We start from the raw sequence: 20,559 nt of genomic DNA, 5'->3' as shown, positions 1-20,559 counted from the left end.
ACCAGCCCAGCACCCAACCCCCCGAGGAGCAGAGCCCAAGTAGGTGGAATAGCCATACAAATCTCTACAGCCTAAGCCATTGAGGCACACACAGGCATTGCTGATGTTGACTATAGCTGAAGAAACTGTACAAAGACTACACTATTGCACCCACCCAAAGAAAAGCCAACGCACCCTACCCAACTGACACCCTAGGACATATCTGTAGAAGAAAGTTTTTTCCCATGAAAGCCACACTACAAAACTGGAAGACGTGAATGTTCCATTAAATGCACAGATATCAAGCAAGGGAGACAAGAACATGAAAAAGCAGTGAAGTATAACACCACAAAGCACAGTAATTCTCCAGTAATTCTCCAGTAATTGACCTCAAAAATGAAAATTTTAAATTGCCTGAAAAGAAATTCAAAATAATAACTTTAAGAAAACTCAGAGGCAAAGGAATATTAAAAAGACAATTCAATTAAAATGAAAAAACCATCATTTGAGAAATTCAACAAAAAGATAGGTATCAAAAATGAAAAAAACAGAAATATTGGAGCTGAATTTAATAAAAATTATCATTGAAAGCTTCAACAACACATTACATCAAGCAGAAGAATCTCTGAACATGAAGAGATGCCTTTTGAAATAATCCAGTCAAACAAGAAAAAAGAATAGAAAAGAATGAAGAAAGTCTGTCAAACTTACTAGACACTATTAAGCAAACAAATGATTGCATTATGGCAGTTCCAGAAGTGGAAAAGATGGGAAAAGTCATAGAAAATTTAATGAAATAATAGCTAAAAAGCTTCCAAGTCTTGGGAGAGATATGCAAAGCCAGATACACAATGCTCTAAAGCTCCCCAAAGTTTCAACCCAAAAAGTTCTTCTCCAAGGCATATTATAGTCAAACTGTCAAAAGTAAATGATAGAGAATTCTAAAAACAACAAGAAAAGAGTGTCAAGTCATGTATAGGGGAGTCCCTATTAGACTAACAGCAGATTTCTCAGCAGACCAGGAGAGAAAACCATAAAAACCAGGACAGAATGGGATGATATATTCAAAGTGCTGAAAGAAAACAAGCTGTCAGAGAAGAATACTATGTCCAGCAAAGTTATCTCTGAGAAACAAAGGAGAAATAAAGTCCTTCCCAGACAACCAAAACTTCAGGAAATTGATCACCAGTAGACTAGCCTTACAAGAAATGCATGAGGAAGTACTTCAACTGGAAGTGAAATAACAACTACCATCACGTAAACAACATGAAAATATATAACTCACTGGTAGAACAGATATGCAAATGAGAAAGAGAAAGGAATCAAATCCTATTACTACAAAAAAAAAAAAATCAGAAAACTGCAAAGATCAACAATAAAAGAAGAAACAAAGGATATACCAAAAAAAAAAAAAAAAAAAAAACCCAAAACAACTAACAAAATGACAACAGTAAGTCCTTACCTATCAATAATAACCTTGAATGAAAATGGATTAAATTCCCCATTTAAAAAATGTAGACTGGCTGAATTAATGAAGAAATAAGATGCAACTATATGCTGCCAACAAGAAACTCAATCTCACCTGTAAAGACACTACAGACTGAGGGTGAAGAGATGGAAAAAGATTATTCAAACAAATGGAAACCAAAACAAGCAAGAGTAGCTATACTTATATCATCAGATAAATTAGACTTTAAGTAAAAAACTGTCAAGAGAGAAAAGGAAGGTCCCTATATAATGATAAAGGGATCAAATCAGCAACGGGATATAATTCTAAGTATACATGCACCCAAAACCAGAGCACTCAGTTATATAAGTCAAATGTTATTAGCTCTAAAGAGAGAGAGGGAAACCTCAATACAATAATAGCTGGGGTCTTCAACACCTCACTCTCAGCAAACATATCATCTAGATAGATAACCAGCAAAGAAATATCAGATTTACACTGCAATATAGCCCAACTGGACCTAACAGACATTTACAGAACATTTCATCCAACAAAGGCAGAATACACCTTCTTCTCATCAGAACATAGAACATTCTCCAGGATAGACCATATGCTAGGTCACAAAACAAGCCTTAACAACATTTTAAAAACTGAATTCATATCAAGTATTTTTTCTGACTACAATGGAATAAAACTAGAATTCGACAAGAGGAACTTTGGAAACTATAAAAACACATGGAAATTAAACAACATCTTCCTGAATGATCAATGGGTTGAGGAAGAAATTAAGAAGGAAATGTAAAAATTTCTTGAAACAAATGAAAATAGAAATAATATACCATAACCTATGGTATACAGCAAAAGCAGTACTAAGAGAGAACTTTATAGCAATAAGTGTCCACATCAAAAAGTAGAAAAATTTCAAATAAACAACCTAACAGTACACCTGAGGTAAACAGAAGAGCAAGAACAAACCAAGCCCAAAATTACTAGAAGGGGAAAAAAAAAGATCAAAGTGGAAATAAATGAAAGAGACAAAAAATGCAAAAGATCAACAAAATAAACAGCAGGTTTTTTGAAATGCCTGGAAGACAATCTAGGCAATACTATCTTGGACATAGAAACAGGCAAAGAGTTTATGACAAAGACACCAAAAGCAATCACAACAAAAGCAAAAATTTACAAATGGGATCTAACTAAACTTAAGAGCTTTTTCACAGCAAAAGAAACTATCAACAGAGTAAACGGACAACTTACAGAATGGGAGAAAATATTTGCAAACTATGCATCTGACAAAAGTCTAATATCCAGCATCTATAAACAACTTAAATTTCCAAAAGAAAAAAAACTCCGTTAAAAAGTGGGCAAAGGACACAGACAGTTTTCAAAAGAAGACATACATGTGGCCAAAAAGAATATGAAAAAAAGCTCAGTATCACTGATCATTAGAGAAATGCAAATCAAAACCACAATGAGATATGATCTCATACCAGTCAGAATGGCTAGTATTAAAAACTCAATAAATAGATGGTGGAGAGGTTGCAGAGAAAAGGGAACACAATACACTGTTGGTGGGAGCGTACATTAGTTCAACCATTGTGGAAAGCAGTATGATGATTCCTCAAAAAGCTAAAAGCAGAACGACCGTTCAACCCAGCAATCCCATTACTGGGTATATGCCCAGAGGAATATAAATCATTCTACCATAAGAACACATGCATGCGAATGTTCACTACAGCAATGTTCACGATAGCAAAGACACAGAATCAACCTAAATGCTCATCAATGACAGACTGGATAAAGAAAATGTGGTACATACACACTATGGAAAATTATGCAGCCATAAAAAATAATGAGACTACTTATTTTGCAAGAACACGGATGAGCTGGAGGCTATCATCCTTGGCAAACTAATGAAGGAACAGAAAACCAAATACCATATGTTCTTACTTATAAGTGGGAGCTAAATGATGAGAACTTCTGAACACAAAGAAGGAAACAACAGACATTGGGGTCTACTTGAGGGTAGAGGGTGGAAGGAGGGAGAAGGGGAGCAAAGATAACTATTCGGTACTGGGCTTAATACATGGGTGATGAAATAATCTGTACAACAAACCCCTGTGACACAAGTTTACCGATGTAAACAAACCTTTACATGTAGCCTTGAACCCAAAATAAAAGTTAAAAAAATTAAAAATAAAGTAAATAGGCCAGGTGAGGTGGCTTACACCTATAATCCCAGAACTTTGGGAGGCTGAGGCAGGTGGATCACCTGAGATTGGGAGTTCGAGACCAGCCTTGCCAACATGGTGAAACCCTGTCTCTACTAAAAATATTGATACAAAAATTGGCTGAGTGTGGTGGCACACACCTGTAATCCCAGCTACTTGGGAGGCTGAAGCATGAGAATTGCTTGAACCCAGGAGGTGGAGATTTCAGTGAGCCAAGATTGCACCATTGCACTCCAGCCTGGGGGACAGAGGCAGACACTGTCTCTAAATTAATTAAAATAAAATCAAACACATCATGATATAGTTTGGATATTTATCTTCACCCACATCTCATGTTGAAATGTAATGCCTAATGTTGGAGGTGGGGCCTGGTGGGAAGTTTTTGGTTCATGGGGGAATATCCCTCATAGCATGGTACTGTTCTCACCATAGTGAATGAGTTCTCCTGAAATCTTGTTTAAAAGTGTGTTGCATCTCCTCTTCTCTCTCTCGCTTCCACTTCAAATGCCACCATGATTGTAAGCTTCCTGAGGCCACCCCAGAAGCTGATCAGATGCCAGCACCACGCTTTCTGTAAATCCTGCAGAACCATATGCCAATTAAACCTCTTTTCTTTATAAATTACCCAGCCTCAGGTGTTTCATTATAGCAGTGCGAGAATCGACTAGCATATACCATTAGCTAGATTAACTAAGAAAAAAAAAGACAAAAATAAAACAGAAACAAAACAAGAAGACATTATAACTAATACCACAGAAATTCAAAGGGCTGTTAGGGACTATTATGAACAATTGTACACCAAACAAATGGAAAAACCCAGAGGAAATGGATAAAGTCCTGGACACATACAACCTACCAAGACTGAATCGGAAAGTAACAGAAATCCTGAATAGACCAATAATGAGAAATGAGATTGAGTCAGTAATTTAAAAAAAAAAACAAAAAAAACTCACTCCCAACAAAGAAAAGCCTAGGGAGAGAGGGCTTCACTGCTGAATTCTACCAAACTTTCAAAGAACTAATACAGAGGGGGAGGAGCCAAGATGGCCGAATAGGAACAGCTCCAGTCTACAGCTCCCAGCGTGAGCGACGCAGAAGACGGGTGATTTCTGCATTTCCATCTGAGGTACCGGGTTCATCTCACTAGAGAGTGCCAGACAGTGGGCGCAGGTCAGTGGGTGCGCGCACCGTGAGCGAGCCGAAGCAGGGCGAGGCATTGCCTCACTTGGGAAGCGCAAGGGGTCAGGGAGTTCCCTTTCCGAGTCAAAGAAAGGGGTGACGGACGCACCTGGAAAATCGGGTCACTCCCACCCGAATATTGCGCTTTTCGGACTGCAGCGCACCACGAGATTATATCCCGCACCTGGCTCGGAGGGTCCTACGCCCACGGAATCTCGCTGATTGCTAGCACAGCAGCCTGAGATCAAACTGCAAGGCGGCAGCGAGGCGGGGGGAGGGGCGCCCGCCATTGCCCAGGCTTGCTTAGGTAAACAAAGCAGCCAGGAAGCTCGAACTGGGTGGAGCCCACTACAGCTCAAGGAGGCCTGCCTGCCTCTGTAGGCTCCACCTCTGGGGGCAGGACACAGACAAACAAAAAGACAGCAGTAACCTCTGCAGACTTAAATGTCCCTGTCTGACAGCTTTGAAGAGAGCAGTGGTTCTCCCAGCACGCAGCTGGAGATCTGAGAACGGGCAGACTGCCTCCTCAAGTGGGTCCCTGACCCCTGACCCCCGAGCAGCCTAACTGGGAGGCACCCCCCAGCAGGGGCACACTGACATCTCACACGGCAGGGTATTCCAACAGACCTGCAGCTGAGGGTCCTGTCTGTTAGAAGGAAAACTAACAAACAGAAAGGACATCCACACCAAAAACCCATCTGTACATCACCATCATCAAAGACCAAAAGTAGATAAAACCACAAAGATGGGGAAAAAACAGAACAGAAAAACTGGAAACTCTAAAACGCAGAGCGCCTATCCTCCTCCAAAGGAACGCAGTTCCTCACCAGCAATGGAACAAAGCTGGATGGAGAATGACTTTGACGAGCTGAGAGAAGAAGGCTTCAGACGATCAAATTACTCTGAGCTACGGGAGGACATTCAAACCAAAGGCAAAGAAGTTGAAAACTTTGAAAAAAATTTAGAAGAATGTATAACTAGAAAAACCAATACAGAGAAGTGCTTAAAGGAGCTGATGGAGCTGAAAACCAAGGCTCGAGAACTACGTGAAGAATGCAGAAGCCTCAGGAGCCGATGCGATCAACTGGAAGAAAGGGTATCAGTGATGGAAGATGAAATGAATGAACTGAAGCAAGAAGGGAAGTTTAGAGAAAAAAGAATACAAAGAAATGAGCAAAGCTTCCAAGAAATATGGGACTATGTGAAAAGACCAAATCTACGTCTGATTGGTGTACCTGAAAGTGATGGGGAGAATGGAACCAAGTTGGAAAACACTCTGCAGGATATTATCCAGGAGAACTTCCCCAATCTAGCAAGGCAGGCCAACGTTCAGATTCAGGAAATACAGAGAACGCCACAAAGATACTCCTCGAGAAGAGCAACTCCAAGACACATAATTGTCAGATTCACCAAAGTTGAAATGAAGGAAAAAATGTTAAGGGCAGCCAGAGAGAAAGGTCGGGTTACCCTCAAAGGGAAGCCCATCAGACTAACAGCGGATCTCTCAGCAGAAACCCTACAAACCAGAAGAGAGTGGGGGCCAATATTCAACATTCTTAAAGAAAAGAATTTTCAACCCAGAATTTCATATCCAGCCAAACTAAGCTTCATAAGTGAAGGAGAAATAAAATACTTTACAGACAAGCAAATGCTGAGAGATTTTGTCACCACCAGGCCTGCCCTAAAAGAGCTCCTGAAGGAAGTACTAAACATGGAAAGGAACAACTGGTACCAGCCGCTGCAAAATCATGCCAAACTGTAAACACCATCGAGGCTAGGAAGAAACTGCATCAACTAACGAGCAAAATAACCAGCTAATATCATAATGACAGGATCAAATTCACACATAACAATATTAACTTTAAATGTAAATGGACTAAATGCTCCAATTAAAAGACACAGACTGGCAAATTGGATGAAGAGTCAAGACCCATCAGTGTGTTGTATTCAGGAAACCCATCTCACATGCAGAGACACACATAGGCTCAAAATAAAAGGATGGAGGAAGATCTACCAAGCAAATGGAAAACAAAAAAAGGCAGGGGTTGCAATCCTAGTCTCTGATAAAACAGACTTTAAACCAGCAAAGATCAAAAGAGACAAAGAAGGCCATTACATAATGGTAAAGGGATCAATTCAACAAGAAGAGCTAACTATCCTAAATATATATGCACCCAATACAGGAGCACCCAGATTCATAAAGCAAGTCCTGAGTGACCTACAAAGAGACATAGACTCCCACACTTTAATAATGGGAGACTTTAACACCCCACTGTCAACATTAGGCAGATCAACGAGACAGAAAGTCAACAAGGATATCCAGGAATTGAACTCAGCTCTGCACCAAGCAGACCTAATAGACATCTACAGAACTCTCCACCCCAAATCAACAGAATATACATTTTTTTCAGCACCACACCACACCTATTCCAAAATTGACCACATACTTGGAAGTAAAGCTCTCCTCAGCAAATGTAAAAGAACAGAGATTATAGCAAACTATCTCTCAGACCACAGTGCAATCAAACTAGAACTCAGGATTAAGAATCTCACTCAAAACCGCTCAACTACATGGAAACTGAACAACCTGCTCCTGAATGACTACTGGATACATAATGAAATGAAGGCAGAAATAAAGATGTTCTTTGAAACCAACGAGAACAAAGACACAACATATCAGAATCTCTGGGACGCATTCAAAGCAGTGTGTAGAGGGAAATTTATAGCACTAAATGCCCACAAGAGAAAGCAGGAAAGATCCAAAATTGACACCCTAACATCACAATTAAAAGAACTAGAAAAGCAAGAGCAAACACATTCAAAAGCTAGCAGAAGGCAAGAAATAACTAACATCAGAGCAGAACTGAAGGAAATAGAGACACAAAAAACCCTTCAAAAATATCAATGAATCCAGGAGTTGGTTTTTTGAAAGGATCAACAAAATTGATAGACAGCTAGCAAGACTAATAAAGAAAAAAAGAGAGAAGAATCAAACAGACACAATAAAAATGATAAAGGGGATATCACCACCGATCCAACAGAAATACAAACTACCATCAGAGAATACTACAAACACCTTTACGCAAATAAACTAGAAAATCTAGAAGAAATGGATAAATTCCTGGACACATACACTCTCCCAAGACTAAACCAGGAAGAAGTTGAATCTCGGAATAGACCAATAACAGGAGTTGAAATTGTGGCAATAATCAATAGTTTACCAACCAAAAAGAGTCCAGAACCACATGGATTCACAGCCGAATTCTACCAGAGGTACAAGGAGGAACTGGTACCATTCCTTCTGAAACTATTCCAATCAACAGAAAAAGAGGGAATCCTCCCTATCTCATTTTATGAGGCCAGCATCATCCTGATACCAAAGCTGAGCAGAGACACAACAAAAAAAGAGAATTTTAGACCAATATCCTTGATGAACATTGATGCAAAAATCCTCAATAAAATACTGGCAAAACGAATCCAGCAGCACATCAAAAAGCTTATCCACCATGATCAAGTGGGCTTCATCCCTGGGATGCAAGGCTGGTTCAATATACGCAAATCAATAAATGTAATCCAGCATATAAACAGAGCCAAAGACAAAAACCACATGATTATCTCAATAGATGCAGAAAAAGCCTTTGACAAAATTCAACAACCCTTCATGCTAAAAACTCTCAATAAATTAGGTATTGATGGGACGTATCTCAAAATAATAAGAGCTATCTATGACAAACCCACAGCCAATATCATACTGAATGGGCAAAAACTGGAAGCATTCCCTTTGAAAACTGGCACAAGACAGGGATGCCCTGTCTCACCACTCCTATTCAACATAGTGTTGGAAGTTCTGGCCAGGGCAATCAGGCAGGAGAAGGAAATAAAGGGTATTCAATTAGGAAAAGAGGAAGTCAAATTGTCCCTGTTTGCAGACGACATGATTGTATATCTAGAAAACCCCATTGTCTCAGCCCAAAATCTCCTTAAGCTGATAAGCAACTTCAGCAAAGTCTCAGGATACAAAATCAATGTACAAAAATCACAAGCATTCTCATACACCAATAACAGACAAACAGAGAGCCAAATCATGAGTGAACTCCCATTCACAATTGCTTCAAAGAGAATAAAATACCTAGGAATCCAACTTACAAGGGATGTGAAGGACCTCTTCAAGGAGAACTACAAACCACTGCTCAAGGAAATAAAAGAGGATACAAACAAATGGAAGAACATTCCATGCTCATGGGTAGGAAGAATCAATATCATGAAAATGGCCATACTGCCCAAGGTAATTTACAGATTCAATGCCATCCCCATCAAGCTACCAATGACTTTCTTCACAGAATTGGAAAAAACTACTTTAAAGTTCATATGGAACCAAAAAAGAGCCCGCATCGCCAAGGCAATCCTAAGCCAAAAGAACAAAGCTGGAGGCATCACACTACCTGACTTCAAACTATACTACAAGGCTACAGTAACCAAAACAGCATGGTACTGGTACCAAAACAGAGATATAGATCAACGGAACAGAACAGAGCCCTCAGAAATAACGCCGCATGTCTACAACTATCTGATCTTTGACAAACCTGAGAAAAACAAGCAATGGGGAAAGGATTCCCTATTTAATAAATGGTGCTGGGAAAACTGGCTAGCCATATGTAGAAAGCTGAACTGGATCCCTTCCTTACACCTTATACAAAAATCAATTCAAGATGGATTGAAGACTTAAACGTTAGACCTAAAACCATAAAAACCCTAGAAGAAAACCTAGGCATTACCATTCAGGACATAGGCATGGGCAAAGACTTCATGTCCAAAACACCAAAAGCAATGGCAACAAAAGCCAAAATTGACAAATAGGATCTAATTAAACTAAAGAGCTTCTGCACAGCAAAAGAAACTACCATCAGAGTGAACAGGCAACCTACAAAATGGGAGAAAATTTTTGCAACTTACTCATCTGACAAAGGGCTAATATCCAGAATCTACAATGAACTCAAACAAATTTACAAGAAAAAAACAAACAACCCCATCAGAAAGTGGGCGAAGGACATGAACAGACACTTCTCAAAAGAAGACATTTATGCAGCCAAAAAACACATGAAAAAATGCTCATCATCACTGGCCATCAGAGAAATGCAAATCAAAACCACAATGAGATACCATCTCACACCAGTTAGAATGGCGATCATTAAAAAGTCAGGAAACAACAGGTGCTGGAGAGGATGTGGAGAAACAGGAACACTTTTACACTGTTGGTGGGACTGTAAACTAGTTCAACCGTAAACTAGTTCAACCATTGTGGAAGTCAGTGTGGCGATTCCTCAGGCATCTAGAACTAGAAATGCCATTTGACCCAGCCATCCCATTACTGGGTATATACCCAAAGGATTATAAATCATGCCGCTATAAAGACACATGCACACGTATGTTTATTGCGGCATTATTCACAATAGCAAAGACTTGGAACCAACCCAAATGTCCAACAACGATAGACTGGATTAAGAAAATGTGGCACATATACACCATGGAATACTATGCAGCCATAAAAAATGATGAGTTCATGTCCTTTGTAGGGACATGGATGAAATTGGAAATCATCATTCTCAGTAAACTATTGCAAGAACAAAAAACCAAACACCGCATATTCTCACTCATAGGTGGGAATTGAACAATGAGATCACATGGACACAGGAAGGGGAATATCACACTCTGGGGACTGTGGTGGGGTTGGGGGAGTGGGGAGGGATAGCATTGGGAGATATACCTAATGCTAGATGACGAGTTAGTGGGTGCAGCACACCAGCATGGCACATGTATACATATGTAACTAACCTGCACAATGTGCACATGTACCCTAAAACTTAAAGTATAATAAAAAAAAAAGTGGGGGGGGGGGACAAAGAACTAATACCAACTTTTATCAAACTACTCCAGAAAAATCTAAGGGGAGGGAATTGTTCCAAATTCATTCTATAAGACCAGCATTACTCTAATATCAAAACCAGATAAGGATACAACAACAACAGTGAACTACAGGCCAATATCCCTGATAAACATAGATGCAAAATTCTCAACAAAATATTAGCAAACCGAATTCAACAGCACATCAAAAACATCATACACCATGATCAAGTGAGCTTTATCCCACAAATGCAAGGACAGTTCAACATACACACACTGTATTGGTCCATTCTCACACTGCGCTATACAGATACTAGTTGAGACTTGGTAATCTATGAAATAACAGATTTAATTGACTCACGGGTCTGCATGGCAGGGGAAGCCTCAGGAAACTTACAATCATGGTGGAAGGCAAAGGGGAAACAAGGCATGTCTTACATGGCAGCAGGAGAAAGGGAGAGGGAGAGAGAGAGAGATAGAAGTGGGGAACTGCCAAACACGTTTACAGCATCAGATCTTCTGAGAACTCCCTCACTATTGTGAGAACAGAATGGCAGAAACCACCCACATGATCCAATCACCTCTCACCAGGCCCCTCCCTCAATGTCTAGAGATTACAACTCCAGATGAGATTTGAGTGGGGAACTGAGCCAAACCATATCATTCTGCAACTCGCCCCTCCAAAATCTCACGTTCTTCTCACATTGCAAAATCAATCATGCCTTCGCAACAGTCCCCCAAAATCTTAGCTTATACTAACCTTAACCCAAAAGTCCAAGTCAAAAGTCTCATCCAAGACAAGGAAAATTCCTTCTGCCTGTGAGCCTGTAAAATCAAAAGCAAGTTAGTTACTTCTAAGATACAATGAGGGTATAGGCATTGGGTAAATGACTCCATTCCAAACAAGAGAAATTGGCCAAAACAAAGGGTCTGCAGGCCGCATGCAAGTCTGGAAGCCAACATGACAGTTATTAAATCTTAAAACTCCAATATGATCTCCTTTGACTCCATCTCTAACATCCAGGGTACTTTGACAAAAGGGATGGGCTCCAAAGGCCTTGGGCAGCTCTGTCCCTGTGGCTCTGCAGGGTACCGCCCCCAAGGCTGCTTTCACAGGTTAGCACTGAGTGCCTGTGGCTTTTCCAGGAGCATGGTGCAAGCTGCTGGTGGATCTACCATTCTAGTGGAGGATGGTGGCCCTCTTCTCACATCTCCCCTAGGCAATGCCCCAGTGGGGACTCTGTGTGGGAGCTCTGACTCCAAATTTCCCTTCCACACTGCCTTAGCAGAGGGTCTCCATGAGGGCTCCACCCCAACAGCAAATTTCTGCCTGGACATCCAGATATTTCCATATATGATCTGCAATCTAGGCTGAGGTTCCCAACCCCAATTCTTGACTTCTGTGCACTCAAAGGCCCAATATTACTTGGAAGCCACCAAGGCTTGGGCCTTGCACCCTCTGAAGCAAAGACCTGAGTTGTATGTTGGTCCCTTTTAGCCATAGCTGGGATGCAGGGCACAACGTTCCAAGACTGCACAAAGCAGCAAGGCCCTGAGTCCAGCCTGTGGAACCAAGTTTTCTTCTTATGCCTCTAGGCCTGCGATGATAGGGGCTGCTGTGAAGACCTCTGACATGCCCTGGAGACATATTCCACATTGTCTTGATGATTAACATTCGGCTCCTTGTTGTGTATGCAAATTTCTGCAGCCAGATTGAATTTCTTCCCAGGAAATTGGTTTTTCTTTTCTGCCACATGTTTAGGCTGCAAATTTTCCAAACTTTTATGCTCTCCTTCTCTTTCAAACATAAGTTCCAATTTCAGACCATCTCTCTCAAGTTAAAAATTCCACAAATCTCTAGGGCAGGGGCAAAATGCTGCCAGTCTCTTTGCTAATGCATAGCAACAGTTACCTTTACTCCAGTTCCCAACAAGTTTTTCATCTTCATCTGAGACTACCTCATCCTGGACTTCATTGTCCATATCACTATCAGCATTTTGGTCAAAACCATTCAACAAGACTGTAGGAAGTTCCAGACTTTCCCACATCTTCCTGTCTTCTGAGCCTTCCAAACTGTTCCAACTTCTACCTGTTACACAGTTCCAAAGTTGTCTCCACATTTTCAGGTTATCTTTATAGCAGTACCCCACTATCCCAGTACCAATTCTCTGTATTAGTCTGTTCTCACACTGCTATAAAGGTATTACCTGAGACTGGATAATTTATGAAGAAAAAAGTTTAATTGGCTCTGTTCTGCATGGCTGGGGAGGCCTCAGGAAACTTACAATCACAGCCGAAGGTGAAAGGAAAGCAAGGCGGTGTGGAGCCAAGATGGCCAAACAGGAACGGCTCCAGTCTACAGCTCCCAGCGTGAGCGACGCAGAAGACATGTGATTCCTGCATTTCCAACTGAGGTACCGGGTTCATCTCACTGAGAAGTGCCGGACAGTGGGTGCAGGATAGTGGGTGCAGTGCACCGTGCGTGAGCCAAAGCAGGGCGAGGCATCGCCTCACTCGGGAAGCGCAAGGGGTCAGGGAATTCCCTTTCCTAGTCAAAGAAAGGGGTGGCAGACGGCACCTGGAAAATCGGGTCACTCCCACCCGAATAATGTGCTTTTCCAACGGGCTTCACAAACGGCACACCAGGAGATTATATCCCGCACCTGGCTTAGAGGGTCCTATGCCCACGGAGCCTCGCTCATTGCTAGCACAGCAGTCTGAGATCAAACTGCAAGGTGAAAGCGAGGCTGGGGGAGGGGCGCCCGCCATTGCTTAGGCCCGAGTAGGTAAACAAAGCAGCTGGGAAGCTCGAACTAGGAGGAGCCCGCCACAGCTCAAGGAGGCCTGCCTGCCTCTGTAGGCTCCACCTCTGTGGGCAGGGCAAAGACAAACAAAAGACAGCAATAACCTCCGTAGACTTAAATGTCCCTGTCTGACAGCTTTGAAGAGAGTAGTGGTTTTCCCAGCATGCAGCTTCAGATCTGAGAACAGGCAGACTACCTTCTCAAGTGGGTCCCTGACCCCTGAGGAGCCTAACTGGGAGGCACCCCCCACTAGGGGTGGACTGACACCTCACATGGCCGGGTACTCCTCTGAGACAAAACTTCCAGAGGAACAATCAGGCAGCAGCATTTGCGGTTCACCAATATCTGCTGTTCTGCAGCCACTGCTGCTGATACCCAGGCAAACAGGGTCTGGAGTGGACCTCCAGTAAAATCCAACGGATCTGCAGCTGAGGGTCCTGACTGTAAGAAGGAAAACTAACAAACAGAAAGGACATCCACACCAAAAACCCATCTGTATGTGGTCATCATCGAAGACCAAAGGTACATAAAACCACAAAGATGGGGAAAAAACACAGCAGAATAACCAGAAACTCTAAAAATCAGAGCACCTCTCCTCCTCCAAAGGAACGCAGCTCCTCACCAGCAATGGAACAAAGCTGGATGGAAAATGACTTTGACGAGAGGAAGGCTTCAGAAGATCAAACTACTCTGAGCTAAAGGAGGAAGTCTGAACCAATGGCAAAGAAGTTAAAAACTTTGATAAAAAATTAGATGAATGGATAACTAGAATAACCAAAGCAGAGAAGTCCTTAAAGGACTTGATGGAGCTGAAAACCACAGCATGAGAACTATGTCACAAATGCACAAGCCTCAGTAACCAATGCGATCACCTGGAAGAAAGGGTATCAGTGATGGAAGACGAAATGAATGAAATGAAGCGTGAAGAGAAGTTCAGAGAAAAAAGAATAAAAAGAAAAGAACAAAGCCTCCAAGAAATATGGGACTATGTGAAAAGACCAAATCTACGTCTAATTGGTGTATCTGAAAGTGATGGGGAGAATGGAACCAAGTTGGAAAACACTCTGCAGGATATTATCCAGGAGAACTTCCCCAATCTAACAAGGCAGGCCAGCATTCAAATTCAGGAAATACAGAGAAAGCCACAAAGATACTCCTCGAGAAGAGCAACTCCAAGACACATAATTGTTAGATTCACCAAAGTTGAAATGAAGAGAAAAATGTTAAGGCAGACAGAGAGAAAGGTCGGGTTACCCACAAGGGGAAGCCCATCAGACTAACAGCGGATCTCTCAGCAGAAACTCTCCAAGCTAGAAGAGAGTGGGGGCCAATATTCAACATTCTTAAAGAAAAGAATTTTCAACCCAGAATTTCATATCCAGCCAAACTAAGCTTCATAAGTGAAGGAGAAATAAAACCCTTCACAGACAAGCAAATGCTGAGAGATTGTGTCACCACCAGGCCTGCCCTAAAAGAGCTCCTGAAGGAAGCACTAAACATGGAAAGGAACAACTGGTACCAGCCACTGCAAAAACATGCCAAATTGTAAAGACCATCAAGGCCAGGAAGAAACTGCATCAACTAACGAGCAAAATAACCAGCTAACATCATAATGACAGGATCAAATTCACACATAACAATACTAACCTTAAATGTAAATGGGCTACATGCTCCAATTAAAAGGCACAGACTGGCAAATTGGATAAAGAGCCAAGTCCCATCAGTGTGTTGTATTCAGGAAACCCATCTCACATGCAGAGACACCTAGGCTCAAAACAAAAGGATGGAGGAAGATCTACCAAGCAAATGGAAAACAAAAAAAGGCAGGGGTTGCAATCCTAGTCTCTGAAAAAACAGACTGTAAACCAACGAAGATCAAAAAAGACAAGGCCATTACATAATGGTAAAGGGATCAATTCATCAATAAGAACTAACTATCCTAAATATATATGCACCCAATACAGGAGCACCCAGATTCATAAAGCAAGTCCTGAGTGACCTACAATGAGACTTAGACTCCCACAAAATAATAATGGGAGACTTTAACACCCCACTGTCAACATTAGACAGATCAACAAGACAGAAAGTTAACAAGGATATCCAGGAATTGAACTCAGCTCTGCACCAAGCGGACCTAATAGACATCTACAGAACTCTCCACCCCAAATCAACAGAATATACATTCTTTTCAGCACCACACCACACCTATTCCAAAACTGACCACATAGTTGGAAGTAAAATACTCCTCAGCAAATGTAAAAGAACAGAAATTATAACAAACTGTCTCTCAGACCACAGTGCAATCAAACGAGAACTCAGGATTAAGAAACTCACTCAAAACCGCTCAACTACGTGGAAACTGAACAACCTGCTCCTGAATGACTACTGGGTACATAACGAAATAAAGGCGGAAATAAAGATGTTCTTTGAAACCAACAAGAACAAAGACACAACATACCAGAATCTCTGGGACACATTAAAAGCAGTGTGTAGAGGGAAATTTATAGCACTAAATGCCCACAAAAGAAAGCAGAAAGATCTAAAATTGACACCTTAACATCACAATTAAAAGAACTAGAGAAGCAAGAGCAAACACATTCAGAAGCTAACAAAAGGCAAGAAATAACTAAGATCAGAGCAGAACTCAAGGAAATAGAGACACAAAAAACCCTTCAAAAAAAATCAATGAATCCAGGAGCTGGTTTTTTGAAAAGATCAACAAAATTGATAGACTGCTAGCAAGACTAATAAAGAAGAAAAGAGAGAAGAATCAAATAGACGCAATAAAAAATGACAAAGGTGATATCACCACCGATCCCACAGAAATACAAACTACCATCAGAGAATACTATAAACACCTCTATGCAAATAAACTAGCAAATCTAGAAGAAATGGATAAATTCCTTGACACATACAGTCTCCCAAGACTAAACCAGGAAGAAGTTGAATCTCTGAATAGACCAATAACAGGCTCTGAAGTTGAGGCAATAATTAATAGCTTACCAACCAAAAAAAGTCCAGGACCAGATGGATTCACAGCCGAATTCTACCAGAGGTACAAGGAGGAACTGGTACCATTCCTTCTGAAACTATTCCAATCAACAGAAAAAGAGGGAATCCTCCCTATCTCATTTTATGAGGCCAGCATCATCCTGATACCAAAGCCTGGCAGAGACACAACAAAAACAGAGAATTTTAGACCAATATCCTTGATGAACATTGATGCAAAAATCCTCAATAAAATACTGGCAAACCGAATCCAGCAACACATCAAAAAGCTTATCCACCATGATCAAGTGGGCTTCATCCCTGGGATGCAAGGCTGGTTCAACATATGAAAATCAATAAATGTAATCCAGCATATAAACAGAACCAAAGACAAAAACCACATGATTATCTCAATAGATGCAGAAAAGGCCTTTGACAAAATTCAACGACGCTTCATGCTAAAAACGCTCAATAAATTAGGTATTGATGGGACGTATCTCAAAATAATAAGAGCTATCTATGACAAAACCCACAGCCAATGTCACACTGAATGGACAAAAACTGGAAGCATTCCCTTTGAAAACTGGCACAAGACAGGGATGCCCTCTCTCACCACTCCTATTCAACATAGTGTTGGCAGTTCTGGCCAGGGCAATCAGGCAGGAGAAGAGAATAAAGGGTATTCAATTAGGAAAGGAGGAAGTCAAATTGTCCCTGTTTGCAGACGACATGATTGTATATCTAGAAAACCCCATTGTTTCAGCCCAAAACCTCCTTAAGATGATAAGTAACTTCAGCAAAGTCTCAGGATACAAAATCAATGTGCAAAAATCACAAGCATTCTCATACACCAATAACAGACAAACAGAGAGCCAAATCATGAGTGAACTCCCATTCACAATTGCTTCACAGAGAATAAAATACCTAGGAATCCAACTTACAAGGGATGTGAAGGACCTCTTCAAGGAGAACTACAAACCACTGCTCAAGGAAATAAAAGAGGATACAAACAAATGGAAGAACATTCCATGCTCATGGGTAGGAAGAATCAATACCGTGAAAATGGCCATACTGCCCAAGGTAATTTATACATTCAATGCCATCCCCATCAAGCTACCAATGACTTTCTTCACAGAATTGGAAAAAACTACTTTAAAGTTCATATGGAACCAAAATAGAGCCCACATTGCCAAGTCAATCCTAAGCCAAAAGAACAAAGCTGGAGGCATCATGCTACCTGACTTCAAACTATACTACAAGGCTACAGTAACCAAAACAGCATGGTGCTGGTACCAAAACAGAGACATAGACCAATGGAACAGAACAGAACCCTCAGAAATAATGCCGCATATCTACAACTATCTGATCTTTGACAAACCTGACAAAAACAAAAAATGGGGAAAGGATTCACTATTTAATAAATGGTGCTGGGAAAACTGGCTAGCCATATGTAGAAAGCTGAAACTGGATCCCTTCCTTACACCTTATACAAAAATTAATTCAAGATCGATTAAAGACTTACATGTTAGACCTAAAACCATAAAAACCCTAGAAGAAAACCTAGGCAATACCATTCAGGATATAGGCATGGGCAAGGACTTCATGTCTAAAAGACCAAAAGCAATGGCAACAAAAGCCAAAATTGACAAATGGGATCTAATTAAACTAAAGAGCTTCTGCACAGCAAAAGAAACTACCATCAGAGTGAACAGGCAACCCACAAAATGGGAGAAAGTTTTCACAACCTACTCATCTGACAAAGGGCTAATATCCAGAATCTACAATGAACTCAAACAAATTTACAAGAAAACAAACAACCCCATCAAAAAGTGGGCGAAGGATATGAACAGACACTTCTCAAAAGAAGACATTTATGCAGCCAAAAGACACATGAAAAAATGCTCATCATCACTGGCCATCAGAGAAATGCAAATCAAAACCACAATGAGATACCATCTCACACCAGTTAGAATGGCGATCATTAAAATGTCAGGAAACAACAGGTGCTGGAGAGGATGTGGAGAAATAGGAACACTTTTACACTGTTGATGGGACTGTAAACTAGTTCAACCGCAAACTAGTTCAACCATTGTGGAAGTCAGTGTGGCGATTCCTCAGGCATCTAGAACTAGAAATGCCATTTGACCCAGCCATCCCATTACTGGGTATATACCCAAAGGATTATAAAACATGCTGCTATAAAGACACATGCACATGTATGTTTATTGCGACACTATTCACAATAGCAAAGACTTGGAACCAACCCAAATGTCCAACAACGATAGACTGGATTAAGAAAATGTGGCACATATACACCATGGAATACTGTGCAGCCATAAAAAATGATGAGTTCATGTCCTTTGTAGGGACATGGATGAAGCTGGAAACCATCATTCTCAGCAAACTATCACAAGGACAAAAAACCAAACACCACATGTTCTCACTCATAGGTGGGAATTGAACAATGAGAACACATGGACACAGGAAGGGGAACATCACACACCGGGGACTGTTGTGGGGTTGGGGGAGGGGGGAGGGATAGCATTAGGAGATATACCTAATGCTAAATGACGAGTTAATGGGTGCAGCACACCAACATGGCATATGTATACATATGTAACAAACCTGCACGTTGTGCACACATACCCTAAAACTTAAAGTATAATAATAATAAAAATAAAAAAATAAAAAAAAGGAAAGCAAGGCACATCTTATGTGACAGCAGGAGAGAGAGAAGAGAGAGAGAGAGAGAGAGAGAAAGAGAAAGAGAAAGGGGGAGAACTGCCAAACACTTTTATAGCATGCGATCTCCTGAGAACTCCCTCACTATTATGAGAACAGCATGGGCAAAACTGCCTTCATTATCCAATAACCTCCTACCAGGCCCCCCCCTTGACACCTAGGTATTACAATTCCAGATGAAATTTAGGTGGGGACACAGAGCCAAATTATATCACAAACCAAATAAATACAAAACATCACATCAACAGAGTGAAGAACAAAAACCATATGATCATTTCAATAGATGCAGAAAAAGCATGGATACATTTCAACATTCCTTCATGATAAAAGCCATCAACAAATTAGGTAAAGAAGGAACAAACCTAAACACAAAAGCAATATATAATAAAGTCACAGCCAACCTCATACTATTCAAGAAAATGCTGAAAGCTTTCTAAGAACTGAAACAAAACAGGAATGCCCACTTTTGCCACTTTTATTCAATGTAGTACTGGAATTTCTAGCCAAAGCAGTTAGGCAAGAGAAAAAAATAAAAGGCATCCAAATTGGAAAAGAGGAGGTCAAATTGTCCCTGTTTACAGATGACCTAATTTTATATAGAGAAAACCTAAAGACTCCATTGAAATTTTTAGAAGTGATAAGTGAATTCAGTGAAGTTGCAGGATACGAAATCAACATATAAAAATCAGTAGTGTTCCTACACATCAACAGCTAACTAGCTGAAATAAATCAATAAAGCAATTCCAGTTACAATAGCTATTAAAAAATTTAAAATAAAATAGGAATAAATATAACCAACAATATGAGAGACCTCTACAATGAAAACCATAAAATGCTGATGAAAGAAACTTATCACAAATAAATGGAAAGATATCCCAGATTCATGGATTGGAAGAATATTATTAAATCGAATATACTACCTAAAGTGATCTATAGATTCAATGAAATCCCTATTAAAATACCAATGACATTCTTCACAGAAATAGAAAAAAAAAAATCCTAAAATTCATATGGAACCACAGAAGACCCTAAATAGCCAAAGCAATCTTGAGCAAAAAGAACAAAACTGGAGGCCTCATACTACCTGACTTCAAAATATACTACAAAGCTTTAGTAACCAAAACAGCATGTACTTACATAAAAACAGACACATGGAACAGTGGAACAGAATAAGGGGGCCAGAAATCCATGTATTTACAGACAACTGATTTTCAATAAAGGGGCCAAGAATATAAATTGAGGAAAGAACACCCTCTCCAATAAATGGTTCTAGGAAAACTGGATATCC

The 20,559-nt window shown here is 40.6% G+C and overlaps 1 long non-coding RNA gene across 1 annotated transcript in view; it reads right to left on the bottom strand.

The window, feature by feature from the left end:
* The window catches only part of CASC15 (cancer susceptibility 15), a 529,408-nt gene that overhangs the window by 10,261 nt on the left and 498,588 nt on the right, over nucleotides 1–20,559 (bottom strand). The window contains exon 10 of the long non-coding RNA NR_015410.2: nucleotides 11,498–11,562. This is a non-coding gene — a long non-coding RNA (cancer susceptibility 15). The remainder of the gene's footprint in view (nucleotides 1–11,497; nucleotides 11,563–20,559) is intronic.

The sequence above is a fragment of the Homo sapiens genome, chromosome 6, assembly GCF_000001405.40.
Source record: "Homo sapiens chromosome 6, GRCh38.p14 Primary Assembly".
Classification (NCBI taxonomy): domain Eukaryota; kingdom Metazoa; phylum Chordata; class Mammalia; order Primates; family Hominidae; genus Homo; species Homo sapiens.
Note: the sequence above shows the minus strand (reverse complement) of the source record. Positions and strands in the feature narration are given on the sequence as shown.